The sequence below is a fragment of the Homo sapiens genome, chromosome 3 (assembly GCF_000001405.40).
Source record: "Homo sapiens chromosome 3, GRCh38.p14 Primary Assembly".
NCBI classification, from domain to species: Eukaryota; Metazoa; Chordata; class Mammalia; order Primates; family Hominidae; genus Homo; species Homo sapiens.
Genome location: NC_000003.12, coordinates 44,362,178 through 44,380,782, shown reverse-complemented (window position 1 = coordinate 44,380,782; position 18,605 = coordinate 44,362,178). Strand labels below are relative to the sequence as shown.

At 38.1% G+C, this 18,605-nt stretch overlaps 1 protein-coding gene across 5 annotated transcripts in view, besides 2 other annotated features; it reads right to left on the bottom strand.

Moving 5' to 3' along the window:
• Positions 1 to 18,605, bottom strand: part of TCAIM (T cell activation inhibitor, mitochondrial) — a 71,320-nt gene that overhangs the window by 28,666 nt on the left and 24,049 nt on the right. For 3 of the 5 annotated variants that reach the window (NM_001282913.2, NM_173826.4, XM_047448023.1), the window contains one exon: positions 13,075 to 13,327. In NM_001282913.2, the coding sequence (NP_001269842.1) occupies positions 13,075 to 13,327 (253 nt within the window). The remainder of the gene's footprint in view (positions 1 to 13,074; positions 13,328 to 18,605) is intronic. The other 2 variants (NM_001282915.2, NM_001282914.2) reach the window with 1 other exon arrangement.
• Positions 2,005 to 2,163: a silencer, noted in NCBI's record as "fragment chr3:44420112-44420270 (GRCh37/hg19 assembly coordinates)". NCBI's record gives its function as "represses an EF-1alpha promoter that drives an FKBP-Casp9 reporter gene in an ReSE screen in HepG2 liver carcinoma cells {active_cell/tissue: HepG2}" and the evidence as "EXISTENCE:reporter gene assay evidence [ECO:0000049][PMID:32094911]".
• Positions 18,370 to 18,570: a silencer, noted in NCBI's record as "peak4626 fragment used in MPRA reporter construct". NCBI's record gives its function as "represses an SCP1 promoter by STARR-seq MPRAs in K562 erythroleukemia cells {active_cell/tissue: K562}" and the evidence as "EXISTENCE:reporter gene assay evidence [ECO:0000049][PMID:32103011]".

Below are 18,605 nucleotides of genomic sequence, written 5' to 3'. Positions count from 1 at the left end.
TTTCTTTCTTAGTCCATCTAGCTAAAGGTCAATTTTGTTGATCTTTTCAAAGAACCAAGTTTTGGTTTTGTTGATTTTCTCTATCCTTTTTCTATTCTCCATTTTGTTTATCTAATATCTACTTTGGTTATCTGCTCTAATCTTTATTATTTCCCTCCTTCTACTAGTTTTGGGTTTAGTTTATTCTTTTTTCTCTAATCCCATAAGGTGTACAGTTAGATTGTTGATTTGAGATCTTTCTTGGTTTTTAAATGTGTTTATAGCTATAAATTTCCCCCTTAGCATTGCTTCACTGAATTTGCTGGGTCCCATAAATTTTGGTACATTGTGTTTTTGTTTTCATTCATCTATATTTTCTTTTTTGCTCAAAATTGTTAATCATACATTTTTTTAAAATTTTCAGGGTACATTCAGTAATGTAATATTCATATAATTTGTAAAAAATCAGTGTAATTGGTATATCCATCACCTTAAATATTTCTTTTATTGTAGAAACATTCCAATTATTCTCTTCTAGCTATTCTGAAATACACGATTGATGATTGTAAACTATAGTCACCTTACTGATCTATCAGACAGATCTTATTTTTTTCTATCAAACTGTATATCTGGACCCATTAATCAACCTCTCTTCATATCCCCCTGAAAATTTTCCCCTCCTTTTTCTCCTAAAAGTCTTACTACTTTACATTTTACATTTAAGTCTATGATCTAATTGAGTTAAAATTCTTAATTTTTTTTTTATTTTAGGTCTGGGGCTCATGTGCAGGTTAACAAAGGCAAACTCATGTCACGGAGGTCTCGTGTACAGACCATTTCTTCACCCAGGTACTAAGCACAGTACCTGATAGTTATTGTTCCTGATCCTCTCCCTCCTCCCACTCTCTTCCCTAGATATAATTTTAACTTTTATTTTAGATTTGGGAGTACATGTGCAGGTTTGTTACATGGGTGTAACGTAACGTGCTGGGGTTTGGGGTATGATTGATCCTGTCACCCAGGTATTGAGTGTAGCACCTGATAGTTAGAAACACCCTTCCCCTCTCTCTCCCTCCCCGCTCTAGTTATCCCCAGTGTCTGTTGTTCTCTGTGTTGTGCCCATTGGTTCTCATTATTTTGTTCCCACTTATAAGTGAGGACATGTGGTATTTGGTTTTCTGTCACGGCATTAGTTTGCTAAGGATAATGGCCTCCAGCTCCATCCATGTTCCTGCAAAGGACATGATCTCATTCTTTTTTATGGCCACATAGTATTCCATTAGGTATATGTACCACATTTCCCTTAACCAGTCCCAGTCCATTGATGGGCATTGAGGTTGATTCCATGTTTTTGCTATTGTGAACAGTGCTGCAATGAAGATATGTCAGCATGTGTGTTTACAGTAGAATGATTTATATTCCTTTGGGTATAAACCCCGTAGTGAGATTACTGGGTTGAATGTTAGTTGTTTTAAGTTCTTTGAGGAATTGCCACACTACTTTCCACGATGGTTTAACTAATATACACTCTTACCAACACTAAATAAGCATTCCCTTTTCTCCACAACCTGACCACAGCATCTGTTATTTATTTATTAATTAATTTTTTTTTTTTTGAGACAGGGCCTTGCTCTGTCACCCAGGCTGGAGTGCAACGGCACAATCTTGGCTCACTGCAATCTCTGCATGCACCCCACCCCACCCTCCCCACCGAGGCCCAGGCTCAAGTGATCCTCCTGCCTCAGCCTCCCCAACAGCTGGGACTATAGGCACATGGCATGAAGCCTGGCTATTTTTTTGTATTTTTGGTAGAGAAGGGGTCTCGTCATGTTGCCCAGGGTGGTCTTAAACTCCTGAGTTCAAGCAATCTCCCCACTTTGGCCTCCCAAAGTGCTGGGATTACAGGTGTGAGCAACTGTGCCTGGCCTGGCTTTTTAATGCTAGCCATTCTAACTGGTATGAGGTGGTATCTCACTGTGGTATTAATTTGCATTTTTTTTTTTTTTTGAGACAGAGTCTCGCTCTGTTGCCGTGGAGTGATCTCGGCTCACTGCAACCTCTGCATCCCAGGTTCAAGCAATTCTCCTGCCTCAGCCTCCTGAATAGCTGAGATTACAGGCACCTGCCACCATGCCTGGCTAATTTTTTGTATTTTTAGGAGCATGGGGTTTCACCATGTTGGCCAGGCTGTTCTTGAACAGCCTTTGATTCGCCTGCCTTAGCCTCCCAAAGCACTGGGATTACAGGCGTGAGCCACCGCACCCAGCTGCATTTTTCTTATGATTAGTAATATTGAGCATTTTTTCATACGCCTGTTGGCTGCATGTACATCTTCTTTTGAAAAGTGTCTGTTCATGTCTTTGCCTGCTTTTTAATGGGGCTGTTTTTTGCTTGTAAAATTTTTTTTTTGGGGGGGTAGGGTTGGGGACAGAGTCTCACTCTGTCGCCCAGGCTGGAGTGCAGTGGCACGATCTCAGCTCATTGCAACCTCCACCTCCTTGGTTCAAGTGATTCTTGTGCCTCAGCCTCCTGAGAGCTGGGATTACAGGCATGTGCCACCATGCCCAACTAATTTTTGTATTTTTAGTAGAGACGGGGTTTCACCATGTTGGCCAGGCTGGTCTCAAACTCTGGACCTCAGATGATCCACCCACCTCAGCCTCCCAAAGTGCTGGGATTACAGGTGTGAGCCACCGCACCCAGCAGTTTGTAAGTCTTAAGTTCCTGATAGATTCTGGATATTAGACCTTTGTCAGATATATAGTTTGAAAGTACTTTCTCCCATTCTGTAGGTTGTCTGTTTACTCTGTTGATATATCGTTTCTTTTGCTGTGCAAAAGCTCTAGTTTAATTATGTAACATTTGTCAATTTTTGCTTTTGTTGGAATTGCTTTTGGCATCTTCATCATGAAATCTTTGCCAGCCCCTATGTCCAGAATGGTATTTTCTATTTTCCCTTGGGATTTCTTTTTATTTTTAATTTTCATGGGTAACATAGTAAGTATATTTATGTGGTACATGGTATCTTCTTTGATCTGCTGGTTAAGAGTGCTTTAATTTCCACAATTTTGTGAAATTTCCAGTTTTACTTCTGTTGTTGATTTCTAACTTCATCCCATTTTGGTCAGAGAAGATACTCTGTATATTTATCTTTTGAAATCTATTGAGACTTAATTTGTGGCCGAAAATATGGTCCATCCTAGAAAACGTTCCATGTGGACTCGAGAAGAATGTGTATGCTGTTGTTGTTAGGTACAGTGTCTTGTATATGTCTGTTAGATCCAGCTCCTTAATTGTGCTATGCAAGTCCTCTGTTTCCTTACTTATTTCTTGTTTGGTTCTTCTATACACTATTGAGAGTGGAGTACTGAAGTGTCCAGCCATTATTGTAGAACTTTCTATTTCTCTCTTCAATTCAGTCCACTTTTGCTTCATATATTTTGATGATCAGGTATTAGGTAGATAAATATTTATAGCTGCTATCTCTTGTTGTTGTGGAGCCTTTTATTAATATGTAATAATCTTCTTTTCTCTTGTAATCTTTTTAAATTTAATGTCTATTTTGTCTCATATTAGTATAACTCTCTTTTGGTTACTATTGCATGGAATACTATCTTTTTCCACCCTTTCACTTTCAACTCCGGATCTAAAGTGACTCTTCTGTAGATGGCATATAGTTGAATCATGTGTTTTATTATTTATTTATTTATTTTTGAGACGGAGTCTCACTCTGTTGCCCAGGCTGGAGTGCAGTGGCATGATCACGGCTCACTGCAAGCTCCGCCTCCCAGGTTCAAGCGATTCTCCTGCCTCAGCCTCCCGAGTAGCTGGGGCTACAGGTGCCTGCCACCATGCCCAGCTAATTTTTTTGTATTTTTTAGTAGAGATGGGGTTTCACCATGTTAGCCAGGATGGTCTCAATCTCCTGACCTCGTGATCCACCCGCCTTAGTCTCCCAAAGTGCTGGGATTACAGGCGTGAGCCACCTCGCCCGGCCAAATCATGTTTTTTAAATTCACTCTGCCAGTATTTGTCTTTTGGAAAGTTTAATCCATTTACATTTAAAGTAATTACTTATAAGATACAACTTAATTCTGTCATGTTGCTATTTATTTTCCATGTGTCTTACCGCTTTTTTGTCCCTTATTTCTTGCATTACTATCTTCTTTTGTGTTTAATTGATTTTATTTTTTTTGTGGCAAAACATTTAAATTCCTTTCTCGTTTCCTTTTGTGTATATTCTTTAGTTATTTTCTTATGGTTACTGGGGGGATTACATTTAACATCCTAAAGTTATAACACCCTAATTTGAATTTATACTAGCTTAACTTCAATAACAAAAACTCTGCTCCTTTACTAGCTCTCCCCAACTCTTTCAGTTGTTACCACAAAATTATCTTTATACATTGTCCAAAAACATAAACTAATAATACTTTTAATAAATATATTTTTTAGGAAGAGTAGTGATAGTTCTTTTTAAAAATGGCTTTGTTGGAATACAATTCATATACCATATAACTCACCCATTCATCCATTTTTAGTATGTTCACAGAAGTGTACAACCACCACCACAGTCAATTTTAGTATACTTTCATCACTTGAATAAGAAATCACATACCCATTAATAGTCCTGCTCTCCAGCCCTACCAACCACTAATCTACTTTCTGTTTCTCTAGATTTGCCTATTGTAGGTATTTTACATAAAATGGAATCACACAGTATGTGGTTGACTGCAATCAGCTTCTTTGACTTAGCATGTTTTCAAGGTTCATCCATGTCGTAGTAAGTATCAGTACTTCATTCCTTTTTCTGGTTAAATAATATTCCATTATATGGATATGCCACTTTTTAAAAATCCATTTATCAGTTGGTAGACATTAGGTTATTTCCACTTTTGGCTATTATAAATAACGTTGCTATAAGCATATTTTTGTGTGAATGTCTGTTTTCATTTCTCTTGAGTGTATACCTAGGAGTGGAATTCTTGGGTCACATAACTCTGTTTAATATTTTGTAGTATTGCCAAACTGTGTTCCACAGCAGCTGCACCATTTTATATGGAGGAGAGTTCCAATTTCCCTACCTGCTCACCAACACTTGTTATTCTCTTTTAGAATATAGCCATCATAGGGTATGAAGTGGTAACTGGTTGTGGTTGTCTGTTTGACCTTGGCCTGTGCTACAGTTTAAATATTTGTCCCCTCCAAATCTCACGTTGAAATTTAATCCCCAATGTTGGAGGCAGGGCCTGGTGGGAAGTTTTGGGTCATGGAGGCAGAACTCTCATTAATGGCTTCATGTCATCTTCATGGTAATGAGTGACTTCTCACTATTAGTTTCCATAAGATCTGATTGCTAAAAATAGCCTGGCGCCTCCTCCTCTCTTTTTTTCCTCCTTTCTTGCCACATGATGCTTGTTCTTCTTTCCCTTCTACCATGAGGGGAAGCTTTCTGAAGTCCCTACCAGAAGCAGATGCTGATGCCACACTTCTTGTACAGCCTGCAGAACCATGAGCCAAACAAACCTCTTTTCTTTATAAATTACCCAGCCTCTAGTATTCCTTTATATTATAGCAATGCAAAATGGACTAAGACAGCTTGATTAAAAATGATTTCATTATAATTGCAGCAATATGTAATACATATATTACATGTATTGTTATAAGATCCAAATAAAAAGAAAAAAACTGATAATAAAATGAAGCCAAAAGAACATTAAAAGGTATATAAAAATGAATGCCAGAATACCACGTACAAGGACTAATGCTGGACTGTGAAATCATTTGGTTCGGTTCCTAGGGTCATGATGCTTTTGAAATAAAAATAGTAACTCAAGCGAAGCTCAGTTTTCCATGGATTTAAGAGATGAAAAAAGAAAGCCATGATCCAAATTACAATAAAGTTAAAATTGCATAAATTTTACACTCCTAGGCTTCAAACTGTATAAAACAAAGGAGTTTAGACCAATAACAGCCTTTATTTTATTTTCACTGCCTGAAGTTCATAGAGCAATAGTTTTTTTATTTTTATATTTTTTTTGGAGAGACAGGGTCTCACTCTGTCACCCAGGCTGGGGTACAGTGGTGTGATCATGGATCACTGCAGCCTAGACCTCCTGGGCTCAGGTGATCCTCCTGCCTCAGCCTCCTGAGTAGCTGGGAGTACAGGCACATGCCATCACACCTGGCTAATTTTTTAATTTTTATTTTTCTACAGACAAGGTCTTACTAGATTGCCCAAGTTGGTCTTAAACTCCTGGCCTCAAGCAATCCTCCCGCCTTGGCCTCCCAAAGTGCTGGGATTATAGTTAGAAGCCACTGCACCTGGCACCAAAAGCTTTTTATACTTCTCTGATGGCAACACATGGTAAGAAATATTTCACATAGTGAACCAGCATATACACACACACCTGTATTTATGTGTATGTAACTAAACGAAGTATTTTGAGAAATAATACTTAAACTTACTACTAGAAATGCATTCACAATATATAGTTAAAATAAAAAAAAAAAAAAAGAAAGCAAAGCAAAACAACTTTGCTAGTCCTGAGTCACTAAATTGTGCATTATCACTTGTAATTTTAAAAACAGTGACTTAGCCTATAAACAAAGGGAAGAGTAAATAAACGCACAATATGAGTTAAATCATGACTATCAAATCCCAAACATTTTATAGAATAGTTCCAATGTTGTAGGTGTCCAACATGGTATTTCATGAACACAAAAATTGATTCAAAGTTTAGACACTGAAAGTGAAATGTAAATATATTTGAGCTAAGGTCAAATAGAAAAAAAGGAACTCTGACATTCACTGGTATCTTAGTAGCTGTAAGAATAGTATTTCAATGGTCTTTTTCTAGTTCAATGACATGTTTGTTCAGTGGGATAGACATTTCATATGGAATTATTTTGCTTATATAAAATGGATCTGGTTAGCTCCTCTCAAATACAAGCTATATAATTAAAGTACATTTTTGTTTTAACATAATTTGATAATCAAAGAATATACCCAAAATATAGAAATACAAAAATTGACAACACGGAACAGCATTTCCTAATTTTTTTTAGACTGGAACATTCCTTTTATAATTTTATATAATTTTCAAAAACTACTTACGTATTAAAATTTTCTTTTCTTTTCTCTTTTTTTCAGACAGAGTCTCACTCTGTCACCCACGCTAGAGTGCAGTGGCACGATCTTGGTTCACTGCAATCTCTGCCTCCCGGGTTCAAGCAGTTCTCCTGCCTCAGTCACCCAAGTAGCTGGGACTACAGGCATGCATCATCACGCCTGGCTATTTTTTTTTTTTTAATAGAGATGGGGTTTCACCATGTTGGCCACCATCTTGACATCAAGTGATCTGCCCACCTCAGCTTCCCAAAGTGCCGAGATTATAGGCGTGACCCACCACACCTGGCCTAAAGCTTTCATTTTATCATTTTTATAGGTATATAACAAAGGAATGTTGAAGTAAGATAAAACACAATCTGCTGAGAAATTCAAAATTACAAACCATGCCTTAAAATATACATTAAAATGTAATTAATGGATATAATATAAAAGTGGGTTAAATAGAGTTTTTATGACCTGATAAATCTCCCATTTTGTGTTTTTAAAAAACTCCTCCAGTCTAGGCAACCAAACAAGACCCTGTCTCAAAAAATATTTAAAAATAAAAATAAAAAAACTCAACTGATTTATTTTTATGATTTCTTATTTTAATTTAAAAATGCTAGGACACAATTTTACCCTGCACTTCTCAGCAAAACCAAAAACAGATAAAATTATTTTGAAAGTTAAAGTCTATACTAAATAACACTGTAATTATATTTTCTCGTTTAACATAGTGCTCAGAAACATTAAAACCATCTTAACTTGCTTTAAAGATTTAATTAAAAAGAAAATTTTGGGCCGGGTGCAGTGGCTCACACCTGTAATCCCAGTGCTTTGGGAGGCCAAGACGGGTGGATCATGAGGTCAGGAGATCAAGACCATCCTGGCTAACACGGCGAAACCCCATCTCTACTAAAAATACAAAAAAATTAGCCGGGTGTGGTGGCAGGCGCCTGTAGTCCCAGCTACTCGGGAGGTTGAGGCAGGAGAATGGTGTGAACCCGGGAGGCGGAGCTTGCAGTGAGCCAAGATAGCACCACTGCACTCCAGCCTGGGCGACTGAGCAAAAGACTCTGTCTTAAAAAAAGAAAAAAAAAAAAAAGAAAGTTTTGATCCAATGAATGTAATTTGTAAATCAAGAGATCAGATTGATATAAATGGGCAGAATTACCATTTTTATGCTACTTCTGAACTATATAATTCAGCATGTGTTCCTTATGATTCCTCTCTATAATCTATACATGTAATGAAGATGAATTAAACAATACATGAATAAAAATTTAAACTGCATATGGCCAAAATGACCATGATGGCTAATAGGTTTTAGTAGACTTATAGGCACCATGAATCTCTCTACTAGGCAGTCACTTGATTCACATGATTTGAAAGCTCTGAAATGGTTCAACAGTTTTACAATTATTTGTAAAATAATTACAGATATAAAAAAATCAGTACAGTTTTCTCTTGCTATACATGAGGCATTAGTTCCAAGCCCACCCACGGGTACCAAAATCTGTGCATACTCAGGTCCCGCAGTTGGCCCCGCCAAACATGCGTATACCAACAGTCGGCCTTCCCTATACATAGGTTTCACATCTTGCTAATACTGTATCTTCCTTCCTTCCTTCCTTCCTTCCTTCCTTCCTTCCTTCCTTCCTTCCTTCCTTCCTTCCTTCCTTCTCTCTTTCTCTCTCTCTCTCTCTCTATTACTATTTCAATAGTTTTTGGGGAGCGAATATGGTATTTTCAATCTGCTTTTGGTTGAAAAAAAATCCGTGTAAGAGTGGATCTGCACAGTTCAAACACACATTCTTCAAGGGTCAACTGTAATTGAAATGAGAAATTGATAGAGATACCATTCCAGCTTTTATGATATAAGCTCCTGGAACCCTTACTAGGAAAAACTACCATATATTAAAACATTGAACAAACCCTCAGCAGAGGTTCCTTCAAACTGGGCAATGCTCATGCTTAGGGAAAGGTCAAGGGGCTCTGGGCCTATGTGAACATGCTAGAATTGGGAAACCAGGTTATGTTAGGGAGATAAGAGATATGAAACCTTTCAGATGAGTACAGGTATTATAATGCTACATCAGCACTGTAAGACATGCTGGTAAAGGGATTTAGCCTACCCTGCATTTCACTCTAACAGCCCAATGAGCAGTATTCCTTGTCTTGTCTTGGTTCAGTGTAGTGCTGTCCTCTCTCTCCTACCCAACCTGGACTTTTTGCTCTAAAATTACACATTCTTAAGCTAAACTCAAACTCCATGAGTTGTGATGATCTGGTTCAGGTAAATCAATAAGATGTCAATGCTTAAGAAATATAATCTAGCCGGGCATGGTGGCTCATGTCTGTAATCCCAGCACTCTGGGAAGCTGAGGCAGGGGGATCGCTTGAGCTCAGGAGTTTGAGACTAGCCTGCACAACATAGTGAGACCTTGTCTCTACTAAAAATTAAAAAATTAACCGGGTATGGGCCAGGCACGGTGGCTCATGCCTGTAATCCCAGCATTTTGGGAGGTCGAGGTGGGCGGATCACCTGAGGTCAAGAGTTCGAGACCAGTCTAGCCAACATGGTGAAACCCCGTCTCTACTAAAAATACAAAAATTAGCCAGGGGTGTGACGGTGTGTGCCTGTAATTCCAGCAACTCGGGAGGCTGAGGCAGGAGAATGCTTAATCCGGGAGGCAGAGGTTGCAGTGAGCCGAGATAGGGCCATTGCACTCCAGCCTGGGCAACAGAGTGAGACTCCATCTTTAAAAAAAAAAAAAAAAAAAATTAGCCAGGTATGGTGGCACATGCCTGTAGTCCCAGCTACTCCAAAGGCTGAGGCGGGAGGATCACTTGAGCCCAGGAGTTTGAGGCTGCAGTGAGCTATGATCATGCCACTGCACTCCAACCTGACAGAGTAAGACCCTGTCTCAAAAAAAAAGAAAGAAAGAAAGAAAGAAAGAAATTAAAAAAGAAATACAATCTAAGGCCCTTCAATATAAGCATAAAAAAACTAAAAAAAAAAAACAAAAAACCTATCTACTGTAATGCTATGCCACTATTAATTTCACTTTATGAAGCTAAAAAAAGAAAGGCTCTAACTGCTTAATAATGGGTTTACTTTAATTTCTGTAAAGATAAAATAGCTGTTGACAAGATGGATAATAATAATCAGTGATTTAGAAAGCTAAATTTCCACTGACTTCAATTTCTAAAACAGTGGTTTTTTTTTTTTTTTTTGAGACAGAGTCTCACTCTGTTGCCCAGGCTGGAGTGCAGTGGCGTGATGTTGGCTCACTGCAACCTCCACCTCCCCGGTTCAAGCGATTCTCCTGCCTCAGCTTCTTGAGTAGCTGGGACTACAGGTGCCCACCACCACGCTAATTTTTTGTATTTTTAGTAGAGACGGGGTTTCACCGTGTTAGCCAGGATGGTCTTGATCTCCTGACCTTGTGATCCGCCTGCCTCGGCCTCCCAAGGCATTTTTTATGTTGCTATACTCTTAAAGGGTAGACAACAAGTCAGAGGGACTTGTTTTTTGAGCTTGTCCTCATAACTGTCAAAATAAAAGCTTGAATTTAAAACAAAGCTGACTTTTGAGGAAATCAAGAATTCACAGCAACATAACTTATCTATGCATAGAAATTTTCCTTAAGACAATGTATCTTTCACTAAAAATAGCAGATTTTTTTAGTTAACATTAATGAAATTAACAGAAGCACTTTAAGAAAAAATGGCCCTCTACATTCACTGCTAAGTGACTTCTATTGCTACGCTATGTATGTTACTTTGCATTCACATATTAAAGCCCGAGTTCTTCAAACTGAGCCTCTAGCACATCACATTTAGTTATTCAACAATTCTTTAGTTCAGTTCAATGAAAATACTGGATGGATTCTATGAATCTATGAAGTAGATTAGTAGACACAGAGATTATCAAAACATATTCCCTACTCTTAAGAACTCATATAGTCGAATGTAATATAAGAAAGTCTCCTTTTACTAAAGACTAAGGAATTTTACTGGATAAATGACATACAAATAAAAAAATTATAAATACTGAGCTTAGGTAAGGAACCCAGTTGAATACACTTATCTTGTTGAGTTGGCTTTCTATAGTTTCAATGTATTTTCACTACTTTGCCGGTGTCTAAGTCCAGTTCTAGGTCCTTGGGGCACTCTTTTCATGATGGCTGCACATCCAGCTCCAAATAAAAACTGTGTTCTACGAAATACTCAACTGAACCACAGACCAACTGCTTCTATGAAATCCTTTAATACATTCTTCTTAGGCCCTTTTAACTTGAGTGAAGTCCAAAAACTGTTACTTTTGCTGTTTTGGCTTGATGTATTCAATCTCACTGTTTTCTATACTCTTTAGGCCAGTAATCCCCAACTTTTTGTTCATCTAGACACAGCGCAAGATAAGTACAACAATATTCTCCCGCGGGTGTAAGCAGAAGTTGTATGTGCCGTGTCCCACATAAAACTTGAAGGCAAGGCTGAGAACTTCTCTTCCAGTTTGTGCTCAGAGAAATCTACTTCAATTCTCACTGTAGCCTCTGTGTGCAATTAACCTTAAATTATCTCTTCTGTTTTTCTATACCAAAATTTTCAATTCGGCAACCTCTATGCCACCATGACTCTACTTTTTATTTATTTATTATTTTTTGGAGACAGGGTCTCACTTTGTCACCCAGGCTGGAGTGCAGTGGCACAATCATAGTTCACCGCAGCCTCAAACTCCTGTGCTCAAGGGATCTTCCTGCCTTAGCCTTCCAAGTAGCTAGAACTACAAATGTGTACCACCATGCCTGGCTAAATTTTTGTATTTTTTGTAGAGATGGGTCTCACTATGTTGCTCAGGCTGGTTTTGAACTCCTGACCTCAGGAAATCCTCCCACCTCGGCCTCCCCAAATGCTGGGATTATCGGCATAAGCCACAGTGCCAGGCTCTTCATTTTTTACCTGACTTCTTACTGTGTCATTACTTCTGGTCCATCATTAAATTGTTATTCCCAAACCCACATTTCCATCTCAGAGGAGAATCTGAACAATTAAAGTCATCATATTTAGGGAAGTGATTTATCCATCAGTTATGCATATAGACAAATATCATAGACTATCACACGTAGGTACATACATACACGTCTTCAGACACATACTTCTATACTTTTCTGTACTAGACTCTGCTACCTTCCTACCTTTTCAGCCTTATTTAGAATCTAGCTAGGTAGCAAGGAGGAATCCCTTAGTATAGATAATCCACAAAGCAGATATTATGCCAGTGGATAATGAAGGATCATTTACTATGCCATAATGAGAGAATCCTCTGATAAGCCACTGGACTTTTTAGATACAATCATAAGAAGAGAATGTGATGGGTCTTTATGAAATCCAAAAATGACTTAAAAAACATTAAGGTGACTTTACAAATAAGGCATGCCAAATAATAGAAAACATTTTATATATGATTTTTATAATTTAAAAAGTAACTCTTTAAAGCAGCTATTCTAGATGATATTTAATAATTTGGTCACCATGTATTTTTCTTATGTATGGATTATTACACTAAAGTACATCACTACTGAACTATCCGTTAGAAATGCCTAACACATGAAGAAGAGTAAAAAATATTTGTATAGTCTTAGGTATAGCCTTTCTCCATGTACCGGGGGTAACTTGAATAGAATTTTTAAAAGTTAAACAAAACAATCTCCTGCATGTGTTTGGTATCAAAAGACCACAACTTTAAATACAGTTGGAAGTATTTTGGCAGCTTTAAGTAAGAAACATGAAATATATTTTTCATAATGATTACTGGATTAACTAGACTGATAGTATTACTTTTCCTGGAAAATTAGGTTTTAATTTTAAATGTGAACTACACTTTTTATTTATAAAAAAATGTTTTTGCCATCCCAATAAATCAGTGTCATAAACACAAACTACAAATACAGTTTAGTTAGATAAAAACTTTTACATACGTGAGAGTTGTTTCCACTCTCGAGACTTGTTCAAGGTCTTCATCAGGGTCCTTGAATCCAGTAAAGGAGTAATAAGACTTGTCCCATTTGATGGGCCTGTCAGGCATCCTTTTAGCTTCTTTGAGAGGCTGGGTATGCATATTAGTATTCAAGCTTTGGATATGTTCAACAGATAAACTGCAGGAGTTGAGAATATATAACACTGTGCTTAGCAGATCTCTGGTGTGCAAAGTAAATTTGACTGCTCGAAATCCTAGAGAATATAATTCCCCCAAACAATTAATACAGATGATTATTTGCTTTATTTCAACATATATAAAATCAAAATCTTTTAAACATTCTATTACTGATTTAAATTCGTCCTATTAGCAAATCACCTGTAAATGGAAAATGACTTCCCTTCTCTAAAACTACACCACACTATTTTTACCTTCATGAATTACTTCAATCATCAGCTCCATTTTCTAGTTTGGCTCCAGTGAATTACTTCAATCATCAGCTCCATTTTCTAGTTTGGCTCCAGTGACCAAACCCATCCCAGCCCACCAAGGGGATTTAGAATATTCTCAATTCTGTCGATAAATCTGGTCTCTTAAGAGAGAGAAAAGCTCTCCTATAAGCAGGTGTCCACCAAAGATAGTTTCTAGTGTACACTGTGACAGCAGTTCAGGTAAGAGGGGCCATATAATCTAGTCTCAGTGGTCACAGAAACCCATCTTGAATTTTCTCTATGATTGAAGGAGATGGTCCTCATACTTGCTCACTCCACTAGGTAGTAACCCAATATTTTCAGGAGTGATTTAAAATTCTCTAGTTGTTTAAAAGTTACTCCTGTAATCCCAGCACTTTGGGAGGCCAAGGTGGGTGGATTATGAACTCAGGAGTTTGAGACCAGCCTGACCAAGACGGTGAAACCCCGTCTCTACTAAAAATACAAAAATTAGGCCGGGCGCGGTGGCTCATGCCTGTAATCCCAGCACTTTGGGAGGCCGAGGCGGGCGGATCACAAGGTCAGGAGATCGAGACTATCCTGGCTAAAACAGTGAAACCCCGTCTCTACTAAAAATACAAAAAAAAAAAATTAGCCGGGCGTGGTGGCGGGCGCCTGTAGTCCCAGCTGGAGGCTGAGGCAGGAGAATGGCGTGAACCCGGGAGGCGGAGCTTGCAGTGAGCCGAGATCGTGCCACTGCACTCCAACCTGGGTGACAGAGCGAGACTCTGTCTCAAAAAAAAAAAAAAAAAAAACAACAAAAATTAGCCAGGCGCAGTGGTGGGCGCCTGTAATCCCAAGTACTCGGGAGGCTGAGGCAGGAGAATTGCTTGAACCTGGGAGGCGGAGGTTGCAGTGAGCCGAGATTGTACCACTGCACTCTAGCCTGGGTGACAGAGCAAGACTCTGTCTCAAAAAAAAAAAAAAGTTACTGATTTTGATGTTGGGTAATCATTGGGCTAAGGTAAGTAATCTAAATTGTTAAGTCATCAATAAAAAATCCACTGGTTTGCTTTTTTTCTTTTCTGGGTGTTAGGCATGGTTCCAGCTTAATTTACATATCTTTTCAATCAACACTACCACCAACTATGCCATTATCATTTCTCTTGTCAAATGTGAAGGAACATAGATTAAGAATGAAGCCAGGGCTTAAATCTGAGTTGACACCAAGCCAAATATTTTCTCCACTACAACATGCTGACTCTTCGCTTTTTTAAAAAACTATTCTTAATTAGTTTTGAAAATTAAAAGCAAAATTCTCCTGTTAGCAGGCATACAACTTTACCATCTTTACTTGAGGTAATCACTATTAACAGGTACATATTCTTCCAGACCTGCTCTACCCAAGATGGTAGCTACTAGCACATGTGGCAATTTAAAATTAAATTGATTGAAATGAAATAAAAATTTAAAATTAAGTTCTTTGGCCACATTGGCCACATTTCAAGTGCTCAATAAGCACGCGGGGCTAGGGCCCACCATATTAGATGATGCAGATATGGAACATTTCCCTCATCACAGAAAGTTCTCTTGGGCAGCACTGTTCTTTGACCTTTTCCGTCTATGTGCTTGTATGTGTGTATCACGTATGAGGCCGGGGCAGTGGTTCATGCCTGTAATCCCACCACTTTGGAAGGCTGAGGCAGGTGGATCACTTGAGGCCAGGAGTTGGAGACCAGCCTGGCCAACAAGGTGAAACTCCGTCTCTACTAAAAATACAAAAATTAGCGGGTGTGGTGGTGCACTCCTGTAATCCCAGCTACTCGGGAGGCTGAGGCAGGAGAATCACTTGAACCCAGGAGGCAGAGATTGCAGTGAGCCGAGATTGTGCCACTGCACTTAAGCCTGGCAGCAGAGCAAGACTCTGCCTCAAAAAAAAAAAAAGTATTTGCAACTGATGACAGACACCACACTTTAAATCATTGTCAGAGATACACATTCTACTTGCCACACCAACTTATGAGATCCAGAACATGCCAACTAAGAAATACTTTTTTTTAGTTCAATAATTTGGGTAAACTTAGAACTACTGGCAAGGGAATTATTCTAGTCAGTAAAGGAGGAAAGGAAAACCCAAATTGCTGCACTGGAGGTTAAGAAAAAATAGCTCATCCTCAGAAGTGCAAAGTCAAGGAGTAAATCTGTTTCTATCTCAATTTATCAGCTCATTATTTAATCCAACATAAGAGCTGCTATATAGTGAGGATTGCCTGTACCACACTGCAAATATCCTTTACTGGTTCCTCAGGATACATTCCAAGAAGAATTTTGTGGCTTTGGGGAGAGAATTCCAAGCTGCAGAGTTTGTAGTTTGCACTAATTTATATACCCATCAATAATGTGGGAAAATGTATTTTTACCATTTATGGGTATTACCAGCAAAAAAAGAAAAAAATTAATGGGCAAAAAATACTACCTAATTATTTCAGTTTGCGTTCGAATACTGAGGCTAAAGATTTTTTTTTTTTTTTTTGAGACAGGGTCTCACTCTGTCACCCATGCTGGAGTGCAGTGGTGCCTGCCATCTTGCCTCACTGCAACCTCTGCCCCCTGGGCTCAGGTGATTCTCCTACCTTAGGCTCTCGAGTAGCGGGGACTACAGGCACATGCCACCACGCCTGGTTAATTTTTTGTATTTTTAGTAGAGACGGGGTTTTGCTATGTTGCCCAGGCTGGTCTGGAACTCCTGGACTCAAGCAATTTGCCTGCCTTGGCCTCTCAAGAGTGTTGGGATTACAGGCGTGAGCCACCACGCATGGCCTAAAGATTTTTATATACTTAACTGACATTTATATGTGTTATTTCTTGAACTGTCTATTTATTGTCTTTCTCCATTTTTGGAATGGAACTACTCTGGTTTATTTTTAATTTGTAAAAACTCTTTATGTATTAGCATCATCTTTTTGTCATATATGCTATATCTTTTCTCCCATTTCTAGTTTAATTTTTTCTGTAACCTTTTACATTTTTTTTTTTTTTAAATGACAGTCTCAGCCAGGTGCGGTGGCTCATGCCTGTAACACCAGCACTTTGGGAGGCTGAGGTGGGCGGATCACGGGGTTAAGAGATCGAGACCATCATGGCCAACATGGTGAAACCCCGTCTCTACTAAAAATACAAAAATTAGCTGGGCATTGTGGCGCTTGCCTGTAGTCCCAGCTACTCAGGAGGCTGAGGCAGAAGAATCACTTGAACCTGGGAGGCAGAGGTTGCAGTGAGCCAAGATTGCACCACTGCACTCCAACCTGGCAACAGAGTGAGACTCCGTATGAAAAAAAAAAAAAAAAAAAAAAAAAAAGACAGACTTGCTGTGTTGTCCAGTTGTCCAGGCTAGCCTCAAACTCCTGGGCTCAAGTGATTCTCCCACCTCAGTCTTCTGAGTAGCTGGGAGTACAGGCTTGTGTCACCATGCCCAGCTATAAGCTATTTTTGTTTAAGAAATCATTCAAAGTTAACCATTAACTGAAAGTAAAGGATTCTGTTTTTACTCAGCCAGAGCTGGCTACAGCTATTTGTCTTAGCATTAATTCACAGAAAGCTCTTAGCAAATCTTTAACTTATTTTAAAATTTATTCTAATAACAACATTTACTTCCTCATGAACCACCAAAAAGATACGGAGCTGAAGAAATAATTTCAGCCTTTAAGGATTTCAATGTATTAATAATGCTAAAGGCTCATAAAATTTCAGTAATGAAAATCACTAGTAAACATTTTACCTTATCACCATCTTATTTATTCAAAGCTGATTAATGATTTCTAGTGTTCTAGAAATAAAAATTTTTTAAAAATCTACTTGATTTTAATTTTATAATCAGGTAAAAATGTTACAGAAGTAAAAATGTTTTAAATCTTTGTCAGAGGGCCAATCTTTGTTATAAAGGCAAAAGGAAAAATGATTAATTACAATATTTTAAAAGAAGAATTAATAGATAATGTGGTATACAAATCAAAACACTGGACTAGGAATAAGGAGACATTAGTTCTAGTACCAGCTCTGTCCCTAATTTGCTGTGTGAAACTTCCTAAGTTTTCCACTAAGCTTTTAAATTCAGTTTACTCTTTAACTCCATGTATATTCAATATTTAAGACAAATCCAGCTGAGAGTGGTAGCAGAAGCACTAGTGGTAGCTGTAGGAACGAGCTCGACTCTTTCAACCACATACAAATAAAAACAGATTGATGATAATATTTTTATTTTAACAACTATAAAGGATATAATCTGCCTCTAAAAATTCCATCTGTCTTCCTGGAGAAATAATGAAACCTAAGTAGACCACTACATATATGTAAGATGTTATTTAATTCCTAGCCTAATCTTGACCCTGACTAACAGGAGCATACATCTATTAAAAATATTTATGAATATTTGGTTTTACACTAGTAACAATCTATCTCAGTTGCTTATGAGACTCTCATGCCTAGGAACAGCACATTCATGTATTTAAACTTTCAAACAGAATTGTGTCACTTAGAGTGATCAACATGCTTATTATTCATTATTTACAGCATTCTTCAGTATACCTGTTCCTTCACAAAAGGGCTATGAATTGACTTTCTATCTTTAAATATTGAAGAATAGGGCTATTTTTAATAAAACTCTAAGTCAGAGGTAGATGGAGAAACTGCCAAGAAAAGGAATTTGTGACTCCTGATCTCCCATATTCAATTATGAGAAAATAAAAGGTAAGAGATCATATACTATCAAATACTAGTCCCTGGAGAGACTGGGTGAGGAGTTGTCTTCAACATACTTCAGCATTCTTCAGATCAAGCTCTTCCTCCTTCCATTTGAAGTCCTGAGAGCCGGGGGAGGGTGAGGTGTAAATTAGGGATCTTCCATGTGAGTGGCCTCTACACAGTTCTCCAACTCTTTCATTTTAATAAATGAACACCCAAAAGTTAAAGGTCACACAGCTAGGTCACTGGCAGAGCTAGAAACAGATTTTAGATCTCAAAGACCTATCAAATTCTGAGTTTTATAACAGTTTGTTTCAAAAAAAAATTACAGTGTATCCTGTTTTAGCCTTAACTCACAGAA